At 54.9% G+C, this 20243-nt stretch overlaps 1 protein-coding gene across 6 annotated transcripts in view, besides 5 other annotated features; it reads left to right on the top strand.

Moving 5' to 3' along the window:
* GRM4 (glutamate metabotropic receptor 4) overlaps positions 1-20243 on the top strand; it is a 136980-nt gene that overhangs the window by 95261 nt on the left and 21476 nt on the right. For 4 of the 6 annotated variants that reach the window (NM_001282847.2, NM_000841.4, NM_001256812.2 and 1 more), the window contains 4 exons: positions 1234-1388; positions 3678-3818; positions 19614-19814; positions 20048-20184. In NM_001282847.2, coding sequence (NP_001269776.1) covers positions 1286-1388; positions 3678-3818; positions 19614-19814; positions 20048-20184 — 582 coding nt within the window. In that variant the 5' untranslated portion in view covers positions 1234-1285. The remainder of the gene's footprint in view (positions 1-1233; positions 1389-3677; positions 3819-19613; positions 19815-20047; positions 20185-20243) is intronic. The other 2 variants (NM_001256809.3, NM_001256811.3) reach the window with 1 other exon arrangement.
* Positions 3816-4110: an enhancer, noted in NCBI's record as "tiled region #4098; K562 Activating DNase matched - State 4:PromP". NCBI's record gives its function as "activates a minimal TATA promoter and a strong SV40 promoter by Sharpr-MPRA in K562 cells {active_cell/tissue: K562}" and the evidence as "EXISTENCE:reporter gene assay evidence [ECO:0000049][PMID:27701403]".
* Positions 4756-5050: a silencer, noted in NCBI's record as "tiled region #5466; HepG2 Repressive DNase unmatched - State 12:CtcfO". NCBI's record gives its function as "represses a minimal TATA promoter and a strong SV40 promoter by Sharpr-MPRA in HepG2 cells {active_cell/tissue: HepG2}" and the evidence as "EXISTENCE:reporter gene assay evidence [ECO:0000049][PMID:27701403]".
* Positions 10939-11492: an enhancer, noted in NCBI's record as "NANOG-H3K4me1 hESC enhancer chr6:34016647-34017200 (GRCh37/hg19 assembly coordinates)". NCBI's record gives its function as "activates a minimal SCP1, AML or CMV promoter by ChIP-STARR-seq in naive H9 embryonic stem cells {active_cell/tissue: H9 hESC(naive)}" and the evidence as "EXISTENCE:reporter gene assay evidence [ECO:0000049][PMID:30033119]".
* Positions 11493-12046: an enhancer, noted in NCBI's record as "NANOG-H3K4me1 hESC enhancer chr6:34016093-34016646 (GRCh37/hg19 assembly coordinates)". NCBI's record gives its function as "activates a minimal SCP1, AML or CMV promoter by ChIP-STARR-seq in naive and primed H9 embryonic stem cells {active_cell/tissue: H9 hESC(naive and primed)}" and the evidence as "EXISTENCE:reporter gene assay evidence [ECO:0000049][PMID:30033119]".
* Positions 12047-12601: an enhancer, noted in NCBI's record as "H3K4me1 hESC enhancer chr6:34015538-34016092 (GRCh37/hg19 assembly coordinates)". NCBI's record gives its function as "activates a minimal SCP1, AML or CMV promoter by ChIP-STARR-seq in primed H9 embryonic stem cells {active_cell/tissue: H9 hESC(primed)}" and the evidence as "EXISTENCE:reporter gene assay evidence [ECO:0000049][PMID:30033119]".

Genomic DNA, 20243 nt, shown 5'->3' with positions numbered 1-20243 from the left:
GGATGATCGGGAGCTCTGGCCATCTCAGGCTGGCCGGATGCAGACGGGTATTAATAGGGTGTGGGTGTGGGTTCTGAGAGCAGCCTTACCTGCCATTAGTGGTGACCTAGGGTGCGGGGGGGCTACACCAGTGAGCAGAGCTGGAAAGCCTCAGGAGTTGGGAGATGATGGAGGGTGGGGTGGGATGAGATGGACAAGGCCAGCTCAGGTGAAAGCTCTGGGGCCTGGAAACATTTGTTTCTCCCTGGAAGCCCAGGCCCTCCAGTCCCAGCTGGCCGCCTCCTGCACAGGCCCAGCAGCCACCCCCCAGCCCTGGAGTCTGTGCCCTGGTCCTCACCAACGGAAGGGCCTGGACAGTTTGTAGTATCACAGCCTCTCACTTGCTGTGTGACTGTGAGCAAGTTCCTTGCCTCCTCCCTACCTCAGTCTCTTTTTGTGGGAGCTGGGTTAGGGGAATTCTGCCCATTCCTCCTTGTTTTTCCCCTCTGAGATGTCTTTGAGGGGCCACTTAATTCATGCCTCCATGAAGCCCTGGCTGAGCGCTTGCTGTGGGCTCCTCAGCCCCGGGCTGGGCTCTTGGGTCCCTGGTTTGATTTATATTACCATCACAGGCAGACTGGGCTGTGTGTGAGCACTGGGCAGCTGGCTCCACACCCATCTCCCTCCATCACCCACTCCCACTCAGGGTGTGGGGAGCAGCTCTCTGAAGGACCTGGAATTTTGGCACAGAGGGCGGTGAATGAAGAGGGAGCTGTGGGCAGAAGGCAGCATGTGCAGAGGGGTGAGGGCGGCGGTTGTGTGATGGTGGATGCGTGTGAGAATGGGCAAGGAATGTGGGGGTGGATGAGCCAGGAAGGCATGCGTCTCAGGGGACCGGGGCTGGGCAGAGGTGGTTGTGGGGCCTGAGTCAGACGTGGGGCGGGTGTGGATCTGGAGGGGAGAGGTGTGGTCTTTGCAGGGACAGATGTAGGCCTGGAGAATCACGCTGGGCCTGCAGCAGGCGTGGGCCCAGGGGCAGGCAGGTTGGATGAGGCGGTAGCCATGGGTCTATGAGCAGGTGAGGGCAGCGGGTAGGGGGAATCCATGGCTTGGGGTGAAAGCATCGGTGCTGGGACAGTTGTGGACCCTGGGCTTCTGGGGGTGAGGGACGTGGGCCCAAAGCAAGTGTGGCCAGGAGTGGGGGCAGTTTCGTGGACAGACGCGGCTGGGCTGGGCTGGTGTATGTTCCTACAGGCGTGTGCTGGAGGCAGCACGAAGGGCCAACCAGACAGGCCATTTCTTCTGGATGGGCTCTGACAGCTGGGGCTCCAAGATTGCACCTGTGCTGCACCTGGAGGAGGTGGCTGAGGGTGCTGTCACGATCCTCCCCAAGAGGATGTCCGTACGAGGTAAGGCTGGGCGGGTGCAGGTGGTCGGCACCATCCTGGACTGCTCCTCCTGCCATCCCTCCTCGGCTTCCTTCCCCTTCTGCTCCGCCTCTTTCCATATCCTTCCTTTTCTCTTCCTTGGCCCACAGCCTCTTATGTTCTGAGGTTTTGGGCTGGGAGTTCTTTTAGGCCACGTGCAACAAAGCAGAATTTGAATCCAGATTCAAGACCTTCCCTCCTCTCTTCTCAGACATTTTTGGGGTGGAAGGTGTGTGGAGAGTCCGCTGCTGAAAGAGGCTGGGAGCCGCCCTGCCGGGGCTACAGGACAGGCCTTTCCTGAAGAGTCTGCCTGGGGTTGACAGGCCCCAGGATGGTGCTGAGGTTGGGCCTGCCTCACCCTGAATCCCCTCCTCTCAGGGCAGAACCCACAGTCACCTGGGCAGGAACGAACTTCTCTGGCCAGAACCTCACAGAGAGTGAGGTGTGACGTTCTCGTTAATGGCCTGATTTGGCAGGGACCTGGCAGTCCTCACCATGGGGAGAAGGCTCCCTGGGCCCTCTCCTTCCCTGCCCTCCCTCCCTTCAATAGAATCCAGCATTAATGGAGCTGGGAGGGACTGCAGACATCTGCCTCTCCAAGGTACTTCCCAAGACACGGAGGCCTGAGGAGGGGAGGGACTTGCTCAAAGTCACACAGCAGTGTCCTCTCTTCATACTGAGGCAGAGGGAGCTCCCTGGCCCATGGCGCCTTCTAGCCCTGGCCCATACCTGTCCAGAGGCCCATGGCTACCATGTCATCCAAACCTGCCCCCCGGGTCTACGTCTGCCTACAGGCCCAGTGTGATCCCCCAGGCCCATGCCTGTCCCTGCAAAGACCACATCTGTCCCCCCACATCCACACCTGCCCCATGTCTGACTCAGGCTCTGGAACCACCTCTGCCCAGCCCCGGTCCTCTCAGACTCATGCCTTCCTGGCTCATCCATCCCCACAGCTCTTACCCCATCACACATTCAACACGCCTCCACCCACCCACCACACACACATAGCGAGAGTTTCCATACCAGCCCCAGCCACAATAAACACAACATAACAATAACTGCTATGGTGCTTACCAGTGCCAGGCCCCTTACAGACATCTCCTTTAGCCTCCCCAGCATCCCTGTGATGCACTCTTCCCCGCATTTAGTAGATGGATACACAGGGCTCAGAGAGCTTGAGACACACACAGTACAGCGAGTGGCAGAGTTGGGACCAGAATCCAGGACTTGCCTGACAAGTACTTTTTCTCTCAGGAACATTAGAGAAACTTTTAGAACAATGGTCCTTATCTGGGGGCGATTTTGCCCCCCAAGGGGATATTTGGCAATTTCTGGAGCCATTTTTGGTTGTCACAGTTGGGGGATGCTGCTGCTGGCCTCCAGTGGGTAGAGGTCGGGGTACTGCTCAGTATCGTACGGTGCACAGGATGGCCCCCCACAGGAATTATCCCGCCCAGAGCGTCCACAGTGCCGAGGCTGAGAAATCCTACTGCAGGCCAAACCTCCTGCTCGATGCCAGTGCGTCTCCTGCCACGTGGCCGGTCATTTTGCTTCCACTTGGACGCTTCCATGGGCAGGAAGCTCCACGTGGCCCCGCTGAGCTTTCAGGCCTCTGGCCCATACAGAGCAGCTCAGTCCACAGTGCCTAGAACAGTCAGTATGGCAGGGGGGCGTCTGGGAGGAGGAGGGGGTGTTGTTCACCGCCAGCCTGCCCACCCTAGGACAGGCTTTCCAAGGCTGAGAGCAGAAGTGTGAGCCACGCAGAGCATGTGGAGGAGGCAGGCAGCCTCTGTCAGTGATGGGGACGTCCTGGATGTGAAGGAAGAAGGTCCAGGTCCTGGTCTTGCTGTGTGATCTGGGTGGTTCCCTCCCTCCTTGTCTGGCCTGGTCTCCTCTTCAGGTGCTCCCCGGGTTGGGCAGCCCCACCAGCCTCTGTGCTGTAATCTCAGGACTCCCAGGCGGCTCCTTCTCAAAGCCCGCTGTTAGCATTGCAGCGGTTAAAGGCCGTGGAAACATCCTCATCGGTGTGCTTCTCTTCCATAAAGGCAGCAGTTGTAGATTACACACGATCCCCCTGGGACCTAATACAGCTCTTTTCATTTTGAAAGAAACGAAATGCTCCACATTTTGTTTTCTCCTGGATCAGAGGATGTGCTCCTCCTGGTCTCTCTCCCTCCGCCTGGACCATCTCTTATCCTGGGGGAGGCGGGGAGGGCTGGGGCTGGTGGGGAAGAAGGCCAGTGAGGCCCTGACGTCCTGGTTCCCTGCCAGGCTTCGACCGCTACTTCTCCAGCCGCACGCTGGACAACAACCGGCGCAACATCTGGTTTGCCGAGTTCTGGGAGGACAACTTCCACTGCAAGCTGAGCCGCCACGCCCTCAAGAAGGGCAGCCACGTCAAGAAGTGCACCAGTGAGCACGCGGGCCGGGCAGGGCCGGGCGGGCTCTAGGAGGAGCCGGGGAGGGCCGAGCCTGGGGGCCTGAGGCCGAGAGTCTCCCTTTGTCTGTCGTCGGCCGGCCGTGGCAGGACGTGCAGTTGGGCCTGCACCTGGGGTGGAGTTGGGAGGCCTGGGGCGGGGCCTTGAGGGGCGGGGCCACAGCAGATTTGGGGTGTGGCCTTGAGATCCTTGGGAGTGGTAAGGCCTCTGGCCGCCTCGGGGTTGATGTGGACGGCCCTAGGGCCAGCCCACAGCACTGAACTGACCCCTCCTAACCTGTATCCAGTCTTGATGCACACCAGGCTGGGCACTTTCCAGAAACTACCTCTAACCTCCAGGGTTCCCTCAGTCACTCAGCAAGCACCAGTTTGGCTCCTAGGCCGTGCCTTGCCCTGTTCTAAGCATGGTGGATATATAGCAGTGAAGAAAGAGTCCAATGGCGCTTGGAGTTTTTATTCTAATGGGGAGACAGACGATCAACAAGACGAGTGAATGATAGAATATGTCAGAACAGAAATGTGCAGAAGAAACAAAACAGACAATAAAAAGAACGGAAAGTGTGAGGGGAAGGGAAACTGCAACTGTGAAGTGGCCAGGGACGGCCTGCTTGCGCAGGTGACATCTGAGCCCTCACATGAGAGGGATAGGCCGCACAGGGGAGGGGCAGTGATCGGGCCATTTTACAGATGGGAGAACCGAGGCTTAGAGGAGGTGAGTAGAGGGACTTGAATTCCCATAGATAGAGGGCGGTAGAGCATGACTTGCTCCTGGGTCTGAGCCCTAGGGCCCCCGCCCCCTAGGTAGCCATCATGGCGTGTCCACTTCAGATACATCCGGACAGGGGTCTTTGCGCGCCCTGGGTCTGGGTGGCTCTGCGGCAGGACCCAGACTCAATAACATTGGGGTGCTCTGGTGCCTCTCAGCCTGAGTGGTGCCTAATCGAGGATGATGAGTTATCTCCTGTATTCTCTCAGACTTGATCGTGCAGTTTGGGCAAAGGGCGGGGGACGCGCTGCATGGAGTCTTAGCTCCTCCAGAGCCAGGGGAGAAGTGAGTGTGATGAGGGTGGGTGGGGAGCATGCTGCCCTCTGGTGGCCAGAGCCCACGGGGACTTGCAGCCACTGGACCACTGGGGACCCAGAGAAGCTCACAGCCAAACCCACCTGATCTGCAGAGTGAGTGCTAGTGTGTGAGTGTGCCCAGTGTGGCAGTGTTTGTGTATACACCTGTGGCACATGACTTTGCATGTGTGTGAGCTGGTGTTCCTGAGAGAGAAGGGATGTGTGTGCCTGTGTCTTATGTGGGGCTTATGTATTCCTGGGTGAGCTAAACATAAACATTGCTGTTTACTATGTATCCACTGTGTTCAGACACTTTAAAGACATCATCTTTAAAATGTGAAAGACATTTCACTCTCACAGCAACTCTAGGAACTCTTAAGATTCCTGCACTCTAGACGAGGATATGGAGAGTCAGAGAGACCAAGTGACTTGCCCGAGGCTGCTCAGCAAATGCCTGCATCAGGCAGTAATCACAATAGAGGTGTGAGAAGTGAAAAGATGCCTGGGTGTGGAGGCTGAGCCCTCATGGGTGGGGTGACCGTGCATCCTGTCTCCCGTGTTCTGGTGTAATTATTGAGAGCATCCCCTTCGGTTCTTGGAAGTGCCCAGGCGGGATGGAAAATTGTATGGGCACCCTGATTTAGATCAGCAGACCTAGATCAGATCAGGGGTGAGGGTGGGGATGGATGAGGTGGGGATGGGGTGGAAAGACTGGAAGTGGTGGCAAGATGGACAGCTGGTGCCTCCTGGACCCAGTGCCTAGGCTGTCGAGGGGTCTGGGTTGTCAAGGGGAAGGGCTTTCTGGAATCTTCTCTTTGAGAGGGACAGGAGGGGAGAAGGCTTTGGTCAGTTCCTGTAGGCTCTGTCCAGACTCCTAGTCCTTGGGGCAGGATTCAAGAAACTCTCCAGCAGTCCTAAGGGAGGCGTTTGGTCTGATTGTCAGCTCAGGTGGGGAAGGAGGACTGGAGCAGGGTTCAGAAGAGCACAGAGCTCGGCTGGGCGTGGTGGCACATGCCTGTAATCCCAGCACTTTGGGGGGCCGAGGCGGGCGGAGTTCATCTGAGGTCAGGAGTTCAAGACCAGCTTGGTCAACATGCTGAAACCCCGTCTCTACTAAAAATACAAAAATTAGCCGGGTTTAGTGGTGGGCACCTGTAATCCCAGCTACTCGGGGGGCCGAGGTACGAGAATTGCTTGAGCCTGGGGAAGTGGAGGTTGCAGTGAGCCGAGATTGTGCCAGTGCACTCCAGCCTGGGCAACAGAGTGATATTCTGTCTCAAAAAAAAAAAAAAAAAAAGAGCACAGAGCTTTCCCATGAGCCTGAGGCAAGCTCTACAACCTTTCTGGGCCTTTGCTTTCTCATCTGAGCAACGGGATTGATGAGCCAGCCCAGAGGGTGTCTCCAGAAGGAAGTGAAGCGTTAATGGAGGCACTTCCTGATCTGTAAGTGGCAGCTGTAAAGCCTGGAGGTGCGTTAGAGTCACCTGGGAGCTTTTAACACCATACCAGGGCGCCACCCCCAGACCAACTAGATCAGAACCTTAGGGGTGGGGCCTAGGCCGTGGATTTTTACAAAGCTCCCTAGGTGATTTTAATGTGTGTTTAGGGCTGGAGCAGTGGTTTCCAAGCTTTGTTCACAATGAATCACCTGGGGATCTTTTAAAAATACGGTTACCCTAGACATTCCGGTTTAATTTGCACTGGATGCAACCTGAGCGTCAGGATTTTTTGAAGTGCCCCAGGTGGTTCTACTATGCAGCAAAGTTTGCGAGCCTCTGGCTTGGAGGGAAGGGTGGGTGACGCCCCTCCTAAATCAGGAGGGTGCCCTAAATCAGGCGTGCGCCCTAAACAGGTGAGGAGGCATGAGCAAAAGGGCAGGGGCTCTAGACGCGGTATGTCTCAGCTGACCCGAATCCTTCCTGCTGCACTGGGAGCCCCAGCAGAGACAGGTCAGAGTCCCTGTGTGGCCCCAGGCCAGGCGCTGTGAGCCTCTCTGTCTATCTCTGGGTGAGGTGAGGGGCGGGTGAGGGGGCTGCTGGGAATGTTTGTGGGACCTGAGACCCTGGGGGGAGGGGCAGGCAGCTCTGGTTTCCCCATGGTCCTGCCCCTGAGCTGAGCCTGTCCCACAGGAGAAGGCCTTAGGCCAGGAGGGCTGGAGTGACACCCACAGAGAGCTGGGAGCAGGGGCAGGGGAAGGACCCACCCCTGGGTCTGAGTCTGGCTCTGCCTCCTCCCTGCTGTGTGACCTTGGACAAGTTATCTAACTTCTCTGAGTCTCAGCTGCTGTCAGTAGATCAGGGAAGGCAACAGCTATCTCAGTGAGCTGTGAGGTTTAGAGATAAGCGTGTGAGGAGGCTGGCTGAGAATGATGTGTATGATAGGTGCTGATAAAATGATTGTTATTGCTGATACAGAGAGGAAGTGGGAGAGTTGGGATTTAGACAGGCAATTGGGTAATCTAATAGTCCAAGTCTGTTGGTACCAATTCTGTCTGTCTGCTGTAAAATCCCGGAGGAAAGAATGTGCCATCCTGAAGGTGGGTAGTATAGATGGTCACAGATGCAACTCCCATTTTACAGAAGAGGAAACTGAGGCAACTTGTGACTATCACAGAGCTAGAGAGTTGTCAGAGCTGATTCACACCCAGGCAGCCTGGCTGTCAAGCCAGTGCCCACCCCTGCCCTTCCCCTCCTTCCCTCTCACTCCTCCAGGGCCCCTCTCTCTTGCCCTCAGCCAGCCCAGGCATGCTCTGTGGTCTCCGAGACCTATTCTCCACCTGCCCCCACTCTGTCTCCAGAGTCTAGCTTCCCCCTCACTTCTTTAGGATCAGCTCACTCTGTTCTCTCGGGTGCTCACATTCCATAGTCGGCCTCTGTTTCAGTCCCACAGGCCTGCCCTGCTCAAGGTCTCACGGAGAGCAAGTGCCACTCCTGGGTCCTTTGCCAAATCCATTCCTTCCCACCCCAGGTGATGGATGGGCCTGGTGACCGTCCAAGAGGGTGGGAAGGACCCTTATCCTGGGATCTTACACTTGGGAAGATTTCATTCATCCTTCAATGCTGTCTGAAGTGGAGTTCCCCCAAGAAGAGGATTTGATAGCAAGTAGCTGATTTAGGAGGGGATTCCAGGAAAGAAGAGAGAAAGCAGAGATGAAGGGTGTGAGATCAAGCTGGTTGCCACTGTGAACAATTGGAGCTTAATCCTCTTGGGACAGAGGAACAGACCTCTCAGTCATCACACAGAGAGCGAGAGGGAGCCGGGGTGTGTGTGTGCCCCATCAGGCATTGGTGGAGGGATGCTCCGAGAGGCCATTAATTCCTTGGCACCTCCAGCCTGCCAAGTGCCTGGGCAGAGAGGGCTCCTGTGCCCAAGAAAGCCTCAGAAGGGTGGCACATGCTGGCAGCTGGAGGCTGGACTGGTGTGTGCTGAAGGGGTCAGGGTTGGATGTATGGTGGAGCACTCATTCTTTCTCAAGCATACGGCTATTAGAGTCCTGCAGACCTGGGTGTGAATGCTGGTGCTGCCACTTCCCAGCCACGTGGCCTTGGGCAGGTTACCTCACCTCTGGGGGCCTCGATTTCCTCACCTGTGCAATGGGAATTATATTATCCCCTCCCATTCTCCCAAGAGCTCCATCCCCAGCAGAGTGCTACCTCCCTCATGGCTTCCAAGGAAGTGATGGGAGCTTATCTGCAGGAAGCACTTGCAGATGGCCTGTGGATCCCCCCAACCTCAGTGAGCTGGGGTCACCAAGAGGGGCATCTCTGCAGCTGTCAAGCCTACGGGAAGATAGCGCCTGCCTCCTCCTTTCCTCCCAGGCCCTCCCTGGGAGCCCAAAGAACAGGGTTTGGGAATTAAAGTCGTAAACAAGGCAGATGTGGCATCCGTCTTTTTGACAGTGCTGCCAGCCAGGTGACGGCTGAGCGGAGGAAGGCCTGGTTTATAAGGAGATAGGAAAAATTTACTGCCTGCTGCACACAGGGGCTGGGAGCTCAGAGAGGGAGGGCAGCTGCATGGTGGCTGGGGGTGTGTGGGGAGATGCCAGTCACCCAGCCTGTGCTACCAGCAGTGACAACAATAATAGTGAAAACATAATCACAGCTAATATTTATATAGCATTTATTAATTGTCAAGCTCTGTTCCAGTATTTTGCATTTAATTTTTGGAGCAACCCACATTACAGATGAGGCAACTGAAGCACAGAGAGGTTAGGGACTTGCCCAGAGTCACACAGAGTTAGGGTTTGAATCCGACCATTTGGCTCCAGAGACATTTTGCTTAGACCAGGTGCTATCCCAGCCCCAGGCCCCTCCTGGCTTCTCCACCCTGCCGGTGAAAGGTCTTCCCACCTCTGCATCCTGAAGAGAACCTGAGGAAGCCTCCCTCCTTGGGCAAGTAAGAAAGGCCAACATTTGGAAGCACCCTTTATGTGCCAGGCCGTGCCTCCATTAGAGGAACTCACAGTTGTTCAAACCATTGGCCCTTCACTCAGTGCTGCTTCCCACTCATCAACTGAGAAACCAACAGCATAGACGAAGAGCCTGACTGTGTGCCCAGCCAGCTCTGTGTTGGGCTCAGTGAGGGGGACAGACCTGCCCTGGGGAGCCGTCCTGCGAGTGGCCTTGCAGACAAGGTATAGTGGATGGTGGCGTGGCCTGGCAGTCAGTGCTGTGGCTCCAGAAAAGGCCTAACTGTGAGGGTGGAGAAGGCAGAGCCTGGAGGCCTCTTGGAGGAAACTGGGAGTGCTGGGAGGACAGGAATGCTGCACTTTTAAGTCAGAAGTTCTCAGTGAGAAGGTGTGTGCTAGTCTGTTTGCACTGCTATAAAGGAATACCTGAGGCTGGGTAATTCATAAAGAAAAGAGGCTTATTTGGCTCACGTTTCTGCAGATTGTGCGAGAAGCGTGGCACCTGCATCTGCTTCTGGTGAGGGCTTCAGGAGGCTTCCCGTCATGGTGGGAGGGAGACGGGAAAGAGAGGAGGAGGAGCCAGGCTCTTTTTAACAATCAAATCTTGTAACTAATAGAGTGAGAACTCACTCATTACCATGAGGACGGCGTCCAGCCACTCATGAGGAATCCGCCCCCATGATTCAAACACATCCCACCAGGCCCCACCTTCAACACTGGGGATCACATTTCGACATGAGATTTGGAGGGGACAAACATCCTAACGATTTCAGGGTGATCCTGGAGCAAACACCTGAAGGCCGTGAGAGAGAGAGCCATGTGGAGACCTAGGAAAGGGCACACCAGGCACAGCGCTCAGCAAGTGCAAAGGCCCTGGGGTGGGCTCATGCCTGGCAAGCCTGGGGGAGCAATGAGGAGGCCAGTGTGGCTGAAGCAGAGAGAGCAACAGGCAGGAGATAGGGTCATGGGGGAGCAACGGGCAGGTAGTGCAGATCATGTGGGCCTTGTGGGCAGTTTGTAAGGATTTAGTTTTTTATGCAGAATGGGACAAGCCATTGCAGGGTTTGAAAGAGGATTGACGTTACCTGATTTATGTCCTAATGAGATCACTGGGCCACTAACTGCTCACTCCTCTCTGGGAGCGAGGGCAGAGTGGGAGACCAGTTAGGAGGCTGGTGCTGTAATCCAGGTGGGGATGATGGGCCTGGGGCGGGTGGTGGTCATGGAGGTGGTGCGAAGGGGTCAGATTCTTTGTAAACTTTGCAGTGTGGCCGTGGTGTTTATGGAAGGATTGAAGGTGAGAGAGAGATGACAGAAAGTCAAGGATGGCTTCAGCATTCTCTGCTGGAACAAGGAGATGGATGAAATGGCCACGCACTACGATGGGGTGGGCGGGAGGAGGAGCAGGCTGGGAAGGAAGGCAGGGCTTTGGTGGAGACCATGTGGAGAGTGGGATGCCTGCTGGGACCCACGTGGCCTTGTGGAGTAGGCGCTGGAGTCAGGGAGAGGCTGGAGTGGCCATGTGACTAGGGAGGTGGCAGAGTACAGATGGGGCTGGCTGGGAGCACCAAGGAGTGTGTGTGGCTAGAGAAGAGGTCCCAGTGAGCCCTGGATGCTGGAGTGTTGGGGGCAGAGAGAAGGGGGCCAGCATGGAAGCTGAGAAGGGGCAGCCTGGGAGGCAGCAGGGCCCAGAGCGTGGTGTCCCGGCGGCGATAAAGAGAGGACTGGAGGAGGGAGTGACTGTCTCCATCACATGCTGTCCAGGGGCCAAGTGAGACAAGGGCTGGACGGGGCCATTGTATTTAGCCACCTGGGGGGCGATTGTGACCTCCACAAAAGCAGTCTCCTTAGAGAGGTGGGTGCAAAAGCCAGACTGGAGTTGGTCAGGAGACAGAGGAGAGAAACTGATGACAGTGAGCAGAGGCACCTCTTATGAGGAGCTACATTGTAAGCAGGAACAGAGAAAGGGGATGCTAGCTGGGGAGGGGTGGGTCAAGAGAGGGGATTTGTTTGTTTGCTTAAATCGGAGAAATGACCTCGTATTTCTACCTTAAAGAGAAAGACCTAGTGTGTTAGTTGTTCTCACGCTGCTATAAAGAACTACCTTAGACTGGGTAATTTATGAAGACAGGAGGTTTAATTGGCTCACAGTTCTGCAGGCTGTACAGGAAGCGCGACTGGGAGGCCTCAGGAAACTTACAATCATGGTGGAAGGCGAAGAGGAAGCAAGCACGGCTTACCATGGTGGAACAGGAGAGAGAAGGCGAGAGGGGAAGTGCCACACTTTTAAACCCTCAGATCTCTTGAGAACTCACTATCATGAAAACAGCATGGGGGAAATCCACCCCCATGATCCAATCACCTCCCACCAAGTCCCTTCCCTGACATGTGGGGATTATGATTCGAGGTGAGATTTGGGGTGGGGACACAGAGCCAAACCTTGTCACCTAGTAAGGTGGAAAGCTAGATGCTCCTTGAAGGGAGGCTGCTGAATAATGGGGGAGAGGGATGTCTGCGTTGGGAGTTGTTAGCAGGGGCGGCTCATCCACATTTGCCTGAGAGTCAGTCCCCAGAGTTCCCCCACCCCCAGCCCCAGCCCCTCCTGTGTGGGAGAGCTGAGCCCCAGCTCCTCAGCCGAGGTGTGTTGGCCTCAGAACCAGGCAGGAGTCGAGAGCTGATCCTTCTTGGGCACGGGGCTGTGCAGGCGCCAGGTGTGACTCTCCTTGCCTAGTCCCAGGTGCCAGCTTTACTTCACAGACGAGGGGCCTGAAGCTCATAGATGCTAAGTGACTTGCCAGGCCCAGCAAGGGGCTGAGTGGGGGTTTCCAGCTGGCCCCACCAGACCCTGGGGCTCGAATCCTGTTTCTCAAAGCTAGGTCTGTGGACATCTGAGGACACATTCTTGAGGCCAGATTCGCAGGGACACAGGAGTGCCGTGAGGATTCTTAAAGTCTGCATTCTCATGTTGATGGCCATCCCCAAGTGAGCTCTCCCAGTCTGAGAGACACGGCTTCTCTGCTGCTGTGGTCATTTACAGTTGGGCTTCACTGTCATAGCCAAGCTCTCAGCTTCTCTCCTTAGTGTTTTTTTGCTGGGGTCATATTCTTGAGGGTTTGCAAGAATGGTTTCCTTCAAAAGGAGCCTGTGGCTGGCTCAAGGTTGAAGAGCCCCAGGCGATGCTACCACAGAGCTCTTGGAGCTTGTAAAAGAACACTTGAGAGGGAGTCAAGAATCGACTCCCACTGGGTAAGCTGCTTCACCTCCTCAGGCCTCAGTTTCCTTATCACTGAGATGGGGATCCCTTTTGGCCCAACCACTAAGCCCTCGAAACACCTGGATGCATCATTCACTGGGACTGGAAGGAGTTGGTGTTGGGCCAAGGCTGAGTTGTGGGGGACAGAGCTAGGGATGGAGGAGACCCAGCCAAGTGGGTTAGAAATTCCCAGACTGGAAGGCAGGCGACTTGATGAGGATGAAAATTCGAGAGGAGGGGGCCGGCAAAACTGCGGTATAGGGCTGAAAAGCAAGCGTGTGACTCTGGGCCAGGGAGATCCTGGCTGGTGACTTCTGGGAATTTGGGGGCTTGTGGGATGGTGAGCCTGGACTCGGGAACAGGACTTGAGGGACAGAAGGAACTGAATGTCTGAGGAAGCACAGAGTGGCAGCTTTCTCCACCCCATCCATATGTTGGGCTAGGTCTGGGTCTGTCTATGCGGTGGGCATCCCTCGCCCATCGCATGTTGGTGGGGAAGGAGTGGGGAGAATCAGCACTAGAGCCAGTGCCAGCCAGGCTGCAGACAGGATGGAGGGGAGGCCTCCAGGGGTGGGGTGTCATCCAGCAGGGGCGTGTCAGGGAGGAAAGGAGAGCTGAGGCTGAGAGAGGACTTCTGTGCACAAGACATGGTGTTGCATCTCCCTCAGTCCTCCCAGTGGCCCCTCGAAGTAAGTCTTACTATCCGGAATTCACACTTGGGAGACTGAGGCACTAGAACACTCCCATACTTGGCCTAGAGTGTATAGCTGGGCCATGGCCCAGCCAAGAGTCAGAGCCATGTGTGTTTGTTTGGTCCATGACACCAGACAGCCCTCTGATGGGGTTCTGGGACCCCCTTGTTTTACTCCCTACTCCCTGGAAGTTTGCTTAAGAGACAAAAACGGGTGTAGGTGTATATTTGTGGCTCATGCTCACCCAGAGCCTTCGTGTGCCTGGCACCTCACCTTCCCACAGCTCTGGGAGACAGGCTGTGTAAATGCAGGTTTATATCTGTGTAGGTGTGTGGTGTAGACATGGATCGATGCTTGACTGCACATGTGAATGAGTGCATGTTTAGCAGATGCTATCGCTGCCCCAGCCGTACCCCTCAGCACTCACCATCCCTGTGTGCACCAATGGGGCTCATGCCCCTGAGAGCAGCCCTCAGCCTAGGACTGGCGGAGCTGGAGCATTTATCCCTGTGGATGGGACAATGCTGAGGTGTAGTTTGCAGGGTCTCCTGGAGGTCCCCAGCAGGACGGAACCCCACAGGCTGGCATTAGTTGACTTTCCTCCCCCACCTCACCTCCCTGTCCCCTCCTCATGCTTCCGGGCATCACCCACCAATAAAACCCTTGCTCTCAACTCCTCCTCAGCATCTGCTTGGGGACTTCTCAGCCTAAGCCAGTGGGTGAATCTGAATGCCCATGTGTTTGTATTAGTGTCGTGTTAAATGTGTAGCTGTAGCTATATTAGAAGCATTTATATGTACATCTGTGTTAGAGCATGCATGTGTGTGTAGACATGTGTAAATGCATGAAGGTTTGTGTATTTGCTACTCTATGCATGCAGATGTGAATACCTGTGAGTGTCTGTGTGGTGGATTTTGTCTACCCTGGCGTGAGGGAGCTGCTTCAGCAATGTGTGTGCACGCACGTGTGTACCAGTGCTAGAACTGGAGGATTGTGGCTGGGCTGGTGAGTTGTGGAGAAGTGAGGGGGGAGACGAGAAGGACTCTGATTATTTCAACCTTGAAAACTCATTTCAATTACAATTTACAACCTGCAGACAAAGGCTGCAGTCGCCGTAGTAACCACGCTTCGGGGTTTTGACAGAGAAAATCCTCCCTGGATGGTTCCCCAGCTGACTGTCACCCATGGCAGAGCCAAATGCATCTCTGCCTCACTGTGCCCCGGGACACAATTAGGACATCTTCAAACTGTTGCTACTGTCACTGCCATGTGTCTGGAATTTGTCTCCTACAACAGCTCTCAGAAATGCATGTCTTGCTTCCTCCCAGAACTGCGGTGCCCCTGCCTGGTCCTGGGGTTCCTGCCCACCCATGAGAGGGGATTTTCCTACCCCTTTCTCTTCACTGCCACCTTCCTGTTCTAGACCTGCAGACAGGGAGTCCTTAATCCCTGGTTGGGCCTGGCCAGACAATGGGGGCAGGGCCTGGGTCGCAGGACAGTGGGGAAGGAGGCAGGTCAGCGGCTAAATGGAGGAGGGGCAGTTCAGGGTGCTGAAGACTTTTTTGGACAACCAAAGACATCTGGGTTCAAGTCCCAGCCCCACCACTTCCGAGCTAGCTCCATCTACAGGTATGTGTCAAACACCTACTTGGTGCCAGGATTCCTGTGAGGCTCTGGGACGCCACCCACCCACCTGCAAACCTTGCTACCTCCCCTGTGAGGGGGCCAGTGAAGCCTGTCTCCCAGAGCTGTGGGAAGGCGAGGTGCCAGGCACACGATGGCTCTGGGTAAGCATGAGCCACGGCTGCAGAGTCACCTGCTGAGGAGCCGGGTTGTGTGAGCCCAAAGCTGCTGCCGTCACAGGCATAGTTGCAGCTGCTCATTTAGGCCAGAGCGTCCTGTCTTGTTTAGTGAGGGTTTGTGGTTCCTGCAGTATCCCCCACCCCTCCCCTACATGCCCCGCTACCCCGCCAGGGGAGTCACCTAGGTCCTGTCGTTGTTTCCTGTGGGGCACAAGGGAAGGGCCTGAGGCATCTGAGGTCAGAGTTGAGGAGTGTGTGTGGTGTGGTGGGGGTGTGTGTGTGTATCTGTGTGGTGTGTGTGTGTTTATTTCAGTGTATCTGTGTGTGCGTGTATGTGTATATATGTGTATGTATGTCTATGTGTGTGTGTGTCTGTGTATATATGTGTATGTATGTCTGTGTGTGTATGTGTATGTCTGTATATATGTGTATGTATGTCTGTGTGTGTGTCTATGTATATATGTGTATGTATGTCTATGTGTGTGTGACTATATATGTGTATGTATGTATGTCTGTGTGTGTATGTGTATGTCTATGTGTGTGTATGTGTATATATGTGTATGTATGTATGTCTGTGTGTGTATGTGTGTGTGTCTGTATATATGTGTATGTATGTCTGTGTGTGTGTGTCTGTGTATATATGTGTATGTATGTATATGTGTGTGTGTCTGCGTGTATATATGTGTATGTATGTATGTCTATGTGTGTGTCTGTGTCTGTGTATATATGTGTATGTATGTCTGTGTGTTTGTGTGTGTGTCTGTATATATGTGTATGTATGTATGTCTGTGTGTGTATGTGTGTATGTCTATGTATATGTGTATGTATGTATGTCTGTGTGTGTGTCTATATATGTGTATGTATGTATGTCTGTGTGTATGTGTGTGTCTGTGTATATATGTGTATGTATGTATGTCTATGTGTGTGTATGTGTGTGTCTGTGTATATATGTGTATGTATGTATGTCTGTGTGTATGTGTGTCTGTGTATATATGTGTATGTATGTATGTCTATGTGTGTGTGTATGTGTATATGTGTATGTATGTATGTCTCTGTGTGTGTATGTGTGTGTCTGTATATATGTGTATGTATGTATATATATGTGTGTGTATATATGTGTATGTATGTATATGTGTGTGTATGTGTATATATGTGTATGTATGTATATGTGTGTGTGTGTGTCTGTGTATATATGTGTATGTATGTCTATGTGTGTGTGTGTGTCTGTGTATATATGTGTATGTATGTATGTCTATGTGTGTGTGTGTGTATGTGTGTGGTGGGCATCCTCCTGGTCTGGTCACTTCACTGCACCCCAGTCTTTCCATATGCTACTGGGGGTAGACTTGAGACAAAAGTCCAGGAGGCCACAGGGAGCTGAGAAGTTGCTAGAAGTCCACGCTGCTGTGACAGCACTGGGATGGATGCTCTGTAAGGGCAGCACCCGAGGCCTAGCACTCTGGAGCCCTTCCCCCAGAGCTGCCCTGGGTGGAGGCAGGTTACCCTGGTGAGGGGGCTCCTGCGGGATATCCACACTAGCATCCATACTGATGGCTTCGTGACCCCAGAGAGAGCACTTGGCCCCGAGCCCAAGTGGCCCAGGAGTGGATGCTTCAGCGGGAGCCTCTGAGGAGAGGCTGAGGCCAGCCTCCTGGGGGAGGTGTGTTTCCCCAGAGATCCAGCTAGCCTCCCATGGCTGGGTGCGTCCTTGGCCTTGAGAGAGAGCTGCCTTCTCTCTGCAGCGGCCGTAGCCTCCCACTCCATCCCTGGTTAATAATTTAGTCTCTCATCCATATGAGATGAGGGTGTGATGGGAGCTGTGGGGGAGTCAAGTAGTGTTTTATGCTTCTTCAGGCTGGAGAGGGAAGGGCCTAGGGGCCTGCGGGGAGCAAGTGTGGGTCCAGGGAGGGTCTTTCCAGGCGACACTGTCCCAGCCTTCTCTATGTCCTTTGGGGATGGGATCGTCCATTCCATTTCTCCCTAGGCCCTCGTGACCTTGTGATCAGAGGCCTTGGACAAGGCAGGATGGTGAAGCTGTCTTTTGTGTTCATCCTGTCTGTTTGTGCCTTGGCCTGGAAAAAGTGTTGCTGGTTAGCAAAGCTAGCAGACACGACCCAAGTCAAATGCAGCCTGGGATGGAGCAGGGGTGGGGTCTAGAAGCTGGAAGTGCCCATCCTGTCGCCCTTGGCTATGTGACCTGGGCTTTCCCACCAGCCTCAGTTTTCTTGTCTTTAAAATGGCAGCGGGGGCAGATGACCCCCGTGGTCCTGGTGTCCCTAGTGTTGTGGTTCTATGGTTTCTACTGTCCACTCAGCAATATCTGAGTACCTACCCTGAGGAAGGCTGAAAATGGGATGTGGTTCTGGCTGGCAGGGTTAATGAGCGACCAGGCCAGCTATCCCCCATCCCCACATCCTTGTGTGGGTGTGGCCACTGGTGTGGCCAGGATTAGAGGGTGTGAGGGGATTAGAGGGTACTGCCTCAGGGAGAGGCAGTGAGATCCCCTGCACCCTGGGTCTGCCTTCAGGGTGTCCAAGGCAGGGGGCTGGACACAGTGACCTCTGGAGTCCCCGGGGAATCACTGCCTCATGTGGACCCAGCTTAACCCTGGCCTATGGGGGCAGGACACAGGTGCAGGTGTGCACCCTGCTGCCCTCTGGGGAATTGCCTCTGTGCAGTGTGGCATGTGCCCTCTAGCTGAGAGGCACGGGCTAGGAGTAGAATGATAGGAGGAGTAATTTCCTCGTCCTGTCCTTGAGGAAGAAGGCCATGCTGTATGCAAGGGCTGTGGTCTTAGGAGGGGAATCCAGGCTTCCCTATCTCTGCCCATCCTCCCCCTTCCTCCTCCCAGCCATCCTCCTGCCATGTCCTCACTTCAGATCCCTGGTCCCCTCCCCACATTCCTGCCCACCTGCATCCCTGTGTGGCAGAGTGTGGTGCTCAGGGTTGGAGTTGGAGTACCTGGGTTCACATCAGCTTTTCATAGTCGTGGAATGTTACTGAGCTTTTCTGTGCTCAGGGCTTCAGTTTCTTTTTGAGATGGAGTCTCACTCTGTCGCTCAGGCTGGAGTGCAATGGTGCAATCTCAGCTCACTGCAAGCTCCGCCTCCCGGGTTCATGTGATCCTTGTGCCTCAGCCTCCTGAGTAGCAGGGATTACAGCTACCTCCCATCAGGCCTCTCCTGATGTTCCCAGCTAATTTTGGTATTTTGAGTAGAGATGGGGTTTCAGCGTGTTGGCTGGGCTGGTCTTGAACTCCTGACCTCAAGTGATCCACCCACCTCAGTCTCCCAAAGTGCTGGGATTACAGGTGTGAGCCACCATGCCCAGTTAGTTTCTTCATCTCTACAATGGAGGTGATTACACCTTAGCATTGTTGTGAGAAATCAATGAGTGAATATACATCAAGAGTTCCGTACAATGCCTGACACATAGCAAGTACTGGTGGAAGTTACTTACTTAATGTTATTGTTGTTATTCAATATGTTATCTAATATCATGATTACCCAGGGCCCAGGCCAAGAACCACCTTCCCCTCCACAAAGTCGTCCCACCTGCTCCAGCCCAGGGACCTCCATAGCCCTCTTGGAAGCCCCTGTTCTGCCCACTTAGCACATAGGACACTGTGGACGAGCCATCTGCTGGCTGTCAAGTGTTTTCGGTACCTTATCTCATGGAAGCCTCATGGCAGCTCTGTGAGGTGGGATCATGATCCCCTTTTTGCTGACGTGGACAACCAAGGAGGCTGCACAGGGCCCCAGAGCAGAGGTCAGTGGACACGGAGGGGAGGGGAGGAGGATGGGAGGTCAGACCCCAGGTCACGGTGCCTTGGGGAGTCATTGCAATTAGCAGTGAGAAGCCCATGGGGATGGGTTTCTCAGTTTGCAAAGTTCACTTATCCTTGCCACTGGGGGACAAGAGGGTTGTCCCTGAGGTAGAAGAGGGATGGATGGGGCAATGGTGACTTCTGGTATTTAGGGTGACTAGAAACCATTGAGGGCAGTCTTTCAGCCTCTCTGGGCCTCAGTTTCCCTACCCATACCCTGGGGTGAGGGCAACATCCTCTGGCTGGAGCAACTGCCCATGGGTGAGTGGCTTTAAGGACACTCCCCTCATTGATGGACATAGCCCCTGTCCTGGCTGTTTCCCAGACTTCGAGAGGGGCAGCTGCTCTCAAGATTATCCCAGGCCAGGCTTGGGGGAAGGCAACAAGGGCCACAGCCACAGGGAGACCTCTGGGACACTGCCTTCCATGGTGAAAGGTGACAAGGTAGTCTGCCCTGGATATTCTGGGACCTTGGGTGGCACAGGCATCAGTGGTACGGTGTCCAGGCCGGTGGACCCTCCCATTACACCCATGGGCCTGTCTCCAGGCACCTCCACAGGGCCATCTCCTGGGTGATAGAGCACTGGGCTGGGAGTCAGGAGGCCTGGCCATGCACAGATGGGCCGTGCCACTTCTCCAGGTGGCCAGAGGGTGGTCTGGCCCCCATGACACCACTGTGAGGACAGTGGGCCTCACGAGTGTCCCTGTTCCTGGTGTTTCATTGCAGACCGTGAGCGAATTGGGCAGGATTCAGCTTATGAGCAGGAGGGGAAGGTGCAGTTTGTGATCGATGCCGTGTACGCCATGGGCCACGCGCTGCACGCCATGCACCGTGACCTGTGTCCCGGCCGCGTGGGGCTCTGCCCGCGCATGGACCCTGTAGATGGCACCCAGCTGCTTAAGTACATCCGAAACGTCAACTTCTCAGGTGGGGGTGTGGTGCGGACTGTGCCTGACCCTGGGTATCCTGGGCCATGCCCGAGGGGAGGGGCCCTTAGGCTCTGTGGGGTGGGAATGGGAGGCCTCTCCTGATGTTTCCAAGAGGTGAAATCTCCCAGAATGTTCCATGAATGGGTGTGTCAGAGAGGTCTCTGCCCCAGGCTCATCATCCGCCCTGCCTCTGGGTAAAGGCTCTGCAAAGACACCCGCCCACCCTTACAGGCATCGCAGGGAACCCTGTGACCTTCAATGAGAATGGAGATGCGCCTGGGCGCTATGACATCTACCAATACCAGCTGCGCAACGATTCTGCCGAGTACAAGGTCATTGGCTCCTGGACTGACCACCTGCACCTTAGAGTAAGTGGGAGGGCAGGGAGTGGGTGGAGAGTGACTCACGCAGTTCCAGCCCCTGGGAG

Source organism: Homo sapiens, chromosome 6 (assembly GCF_000001405.40).
Source record: "Homo sapiens chromosome 6, GRCh38.p14 Primary Assembly".
NCBI lineage: Eukaryota > Metazoa > Chordata > Mammalia > Primates > Hominidae > Homo > Homo sapiens.
The sequence above is the reverse complement of the archived record's forward strand: the minus strand, read 5'-3'. Positions and strand labels throughout refer to the sequence as shown.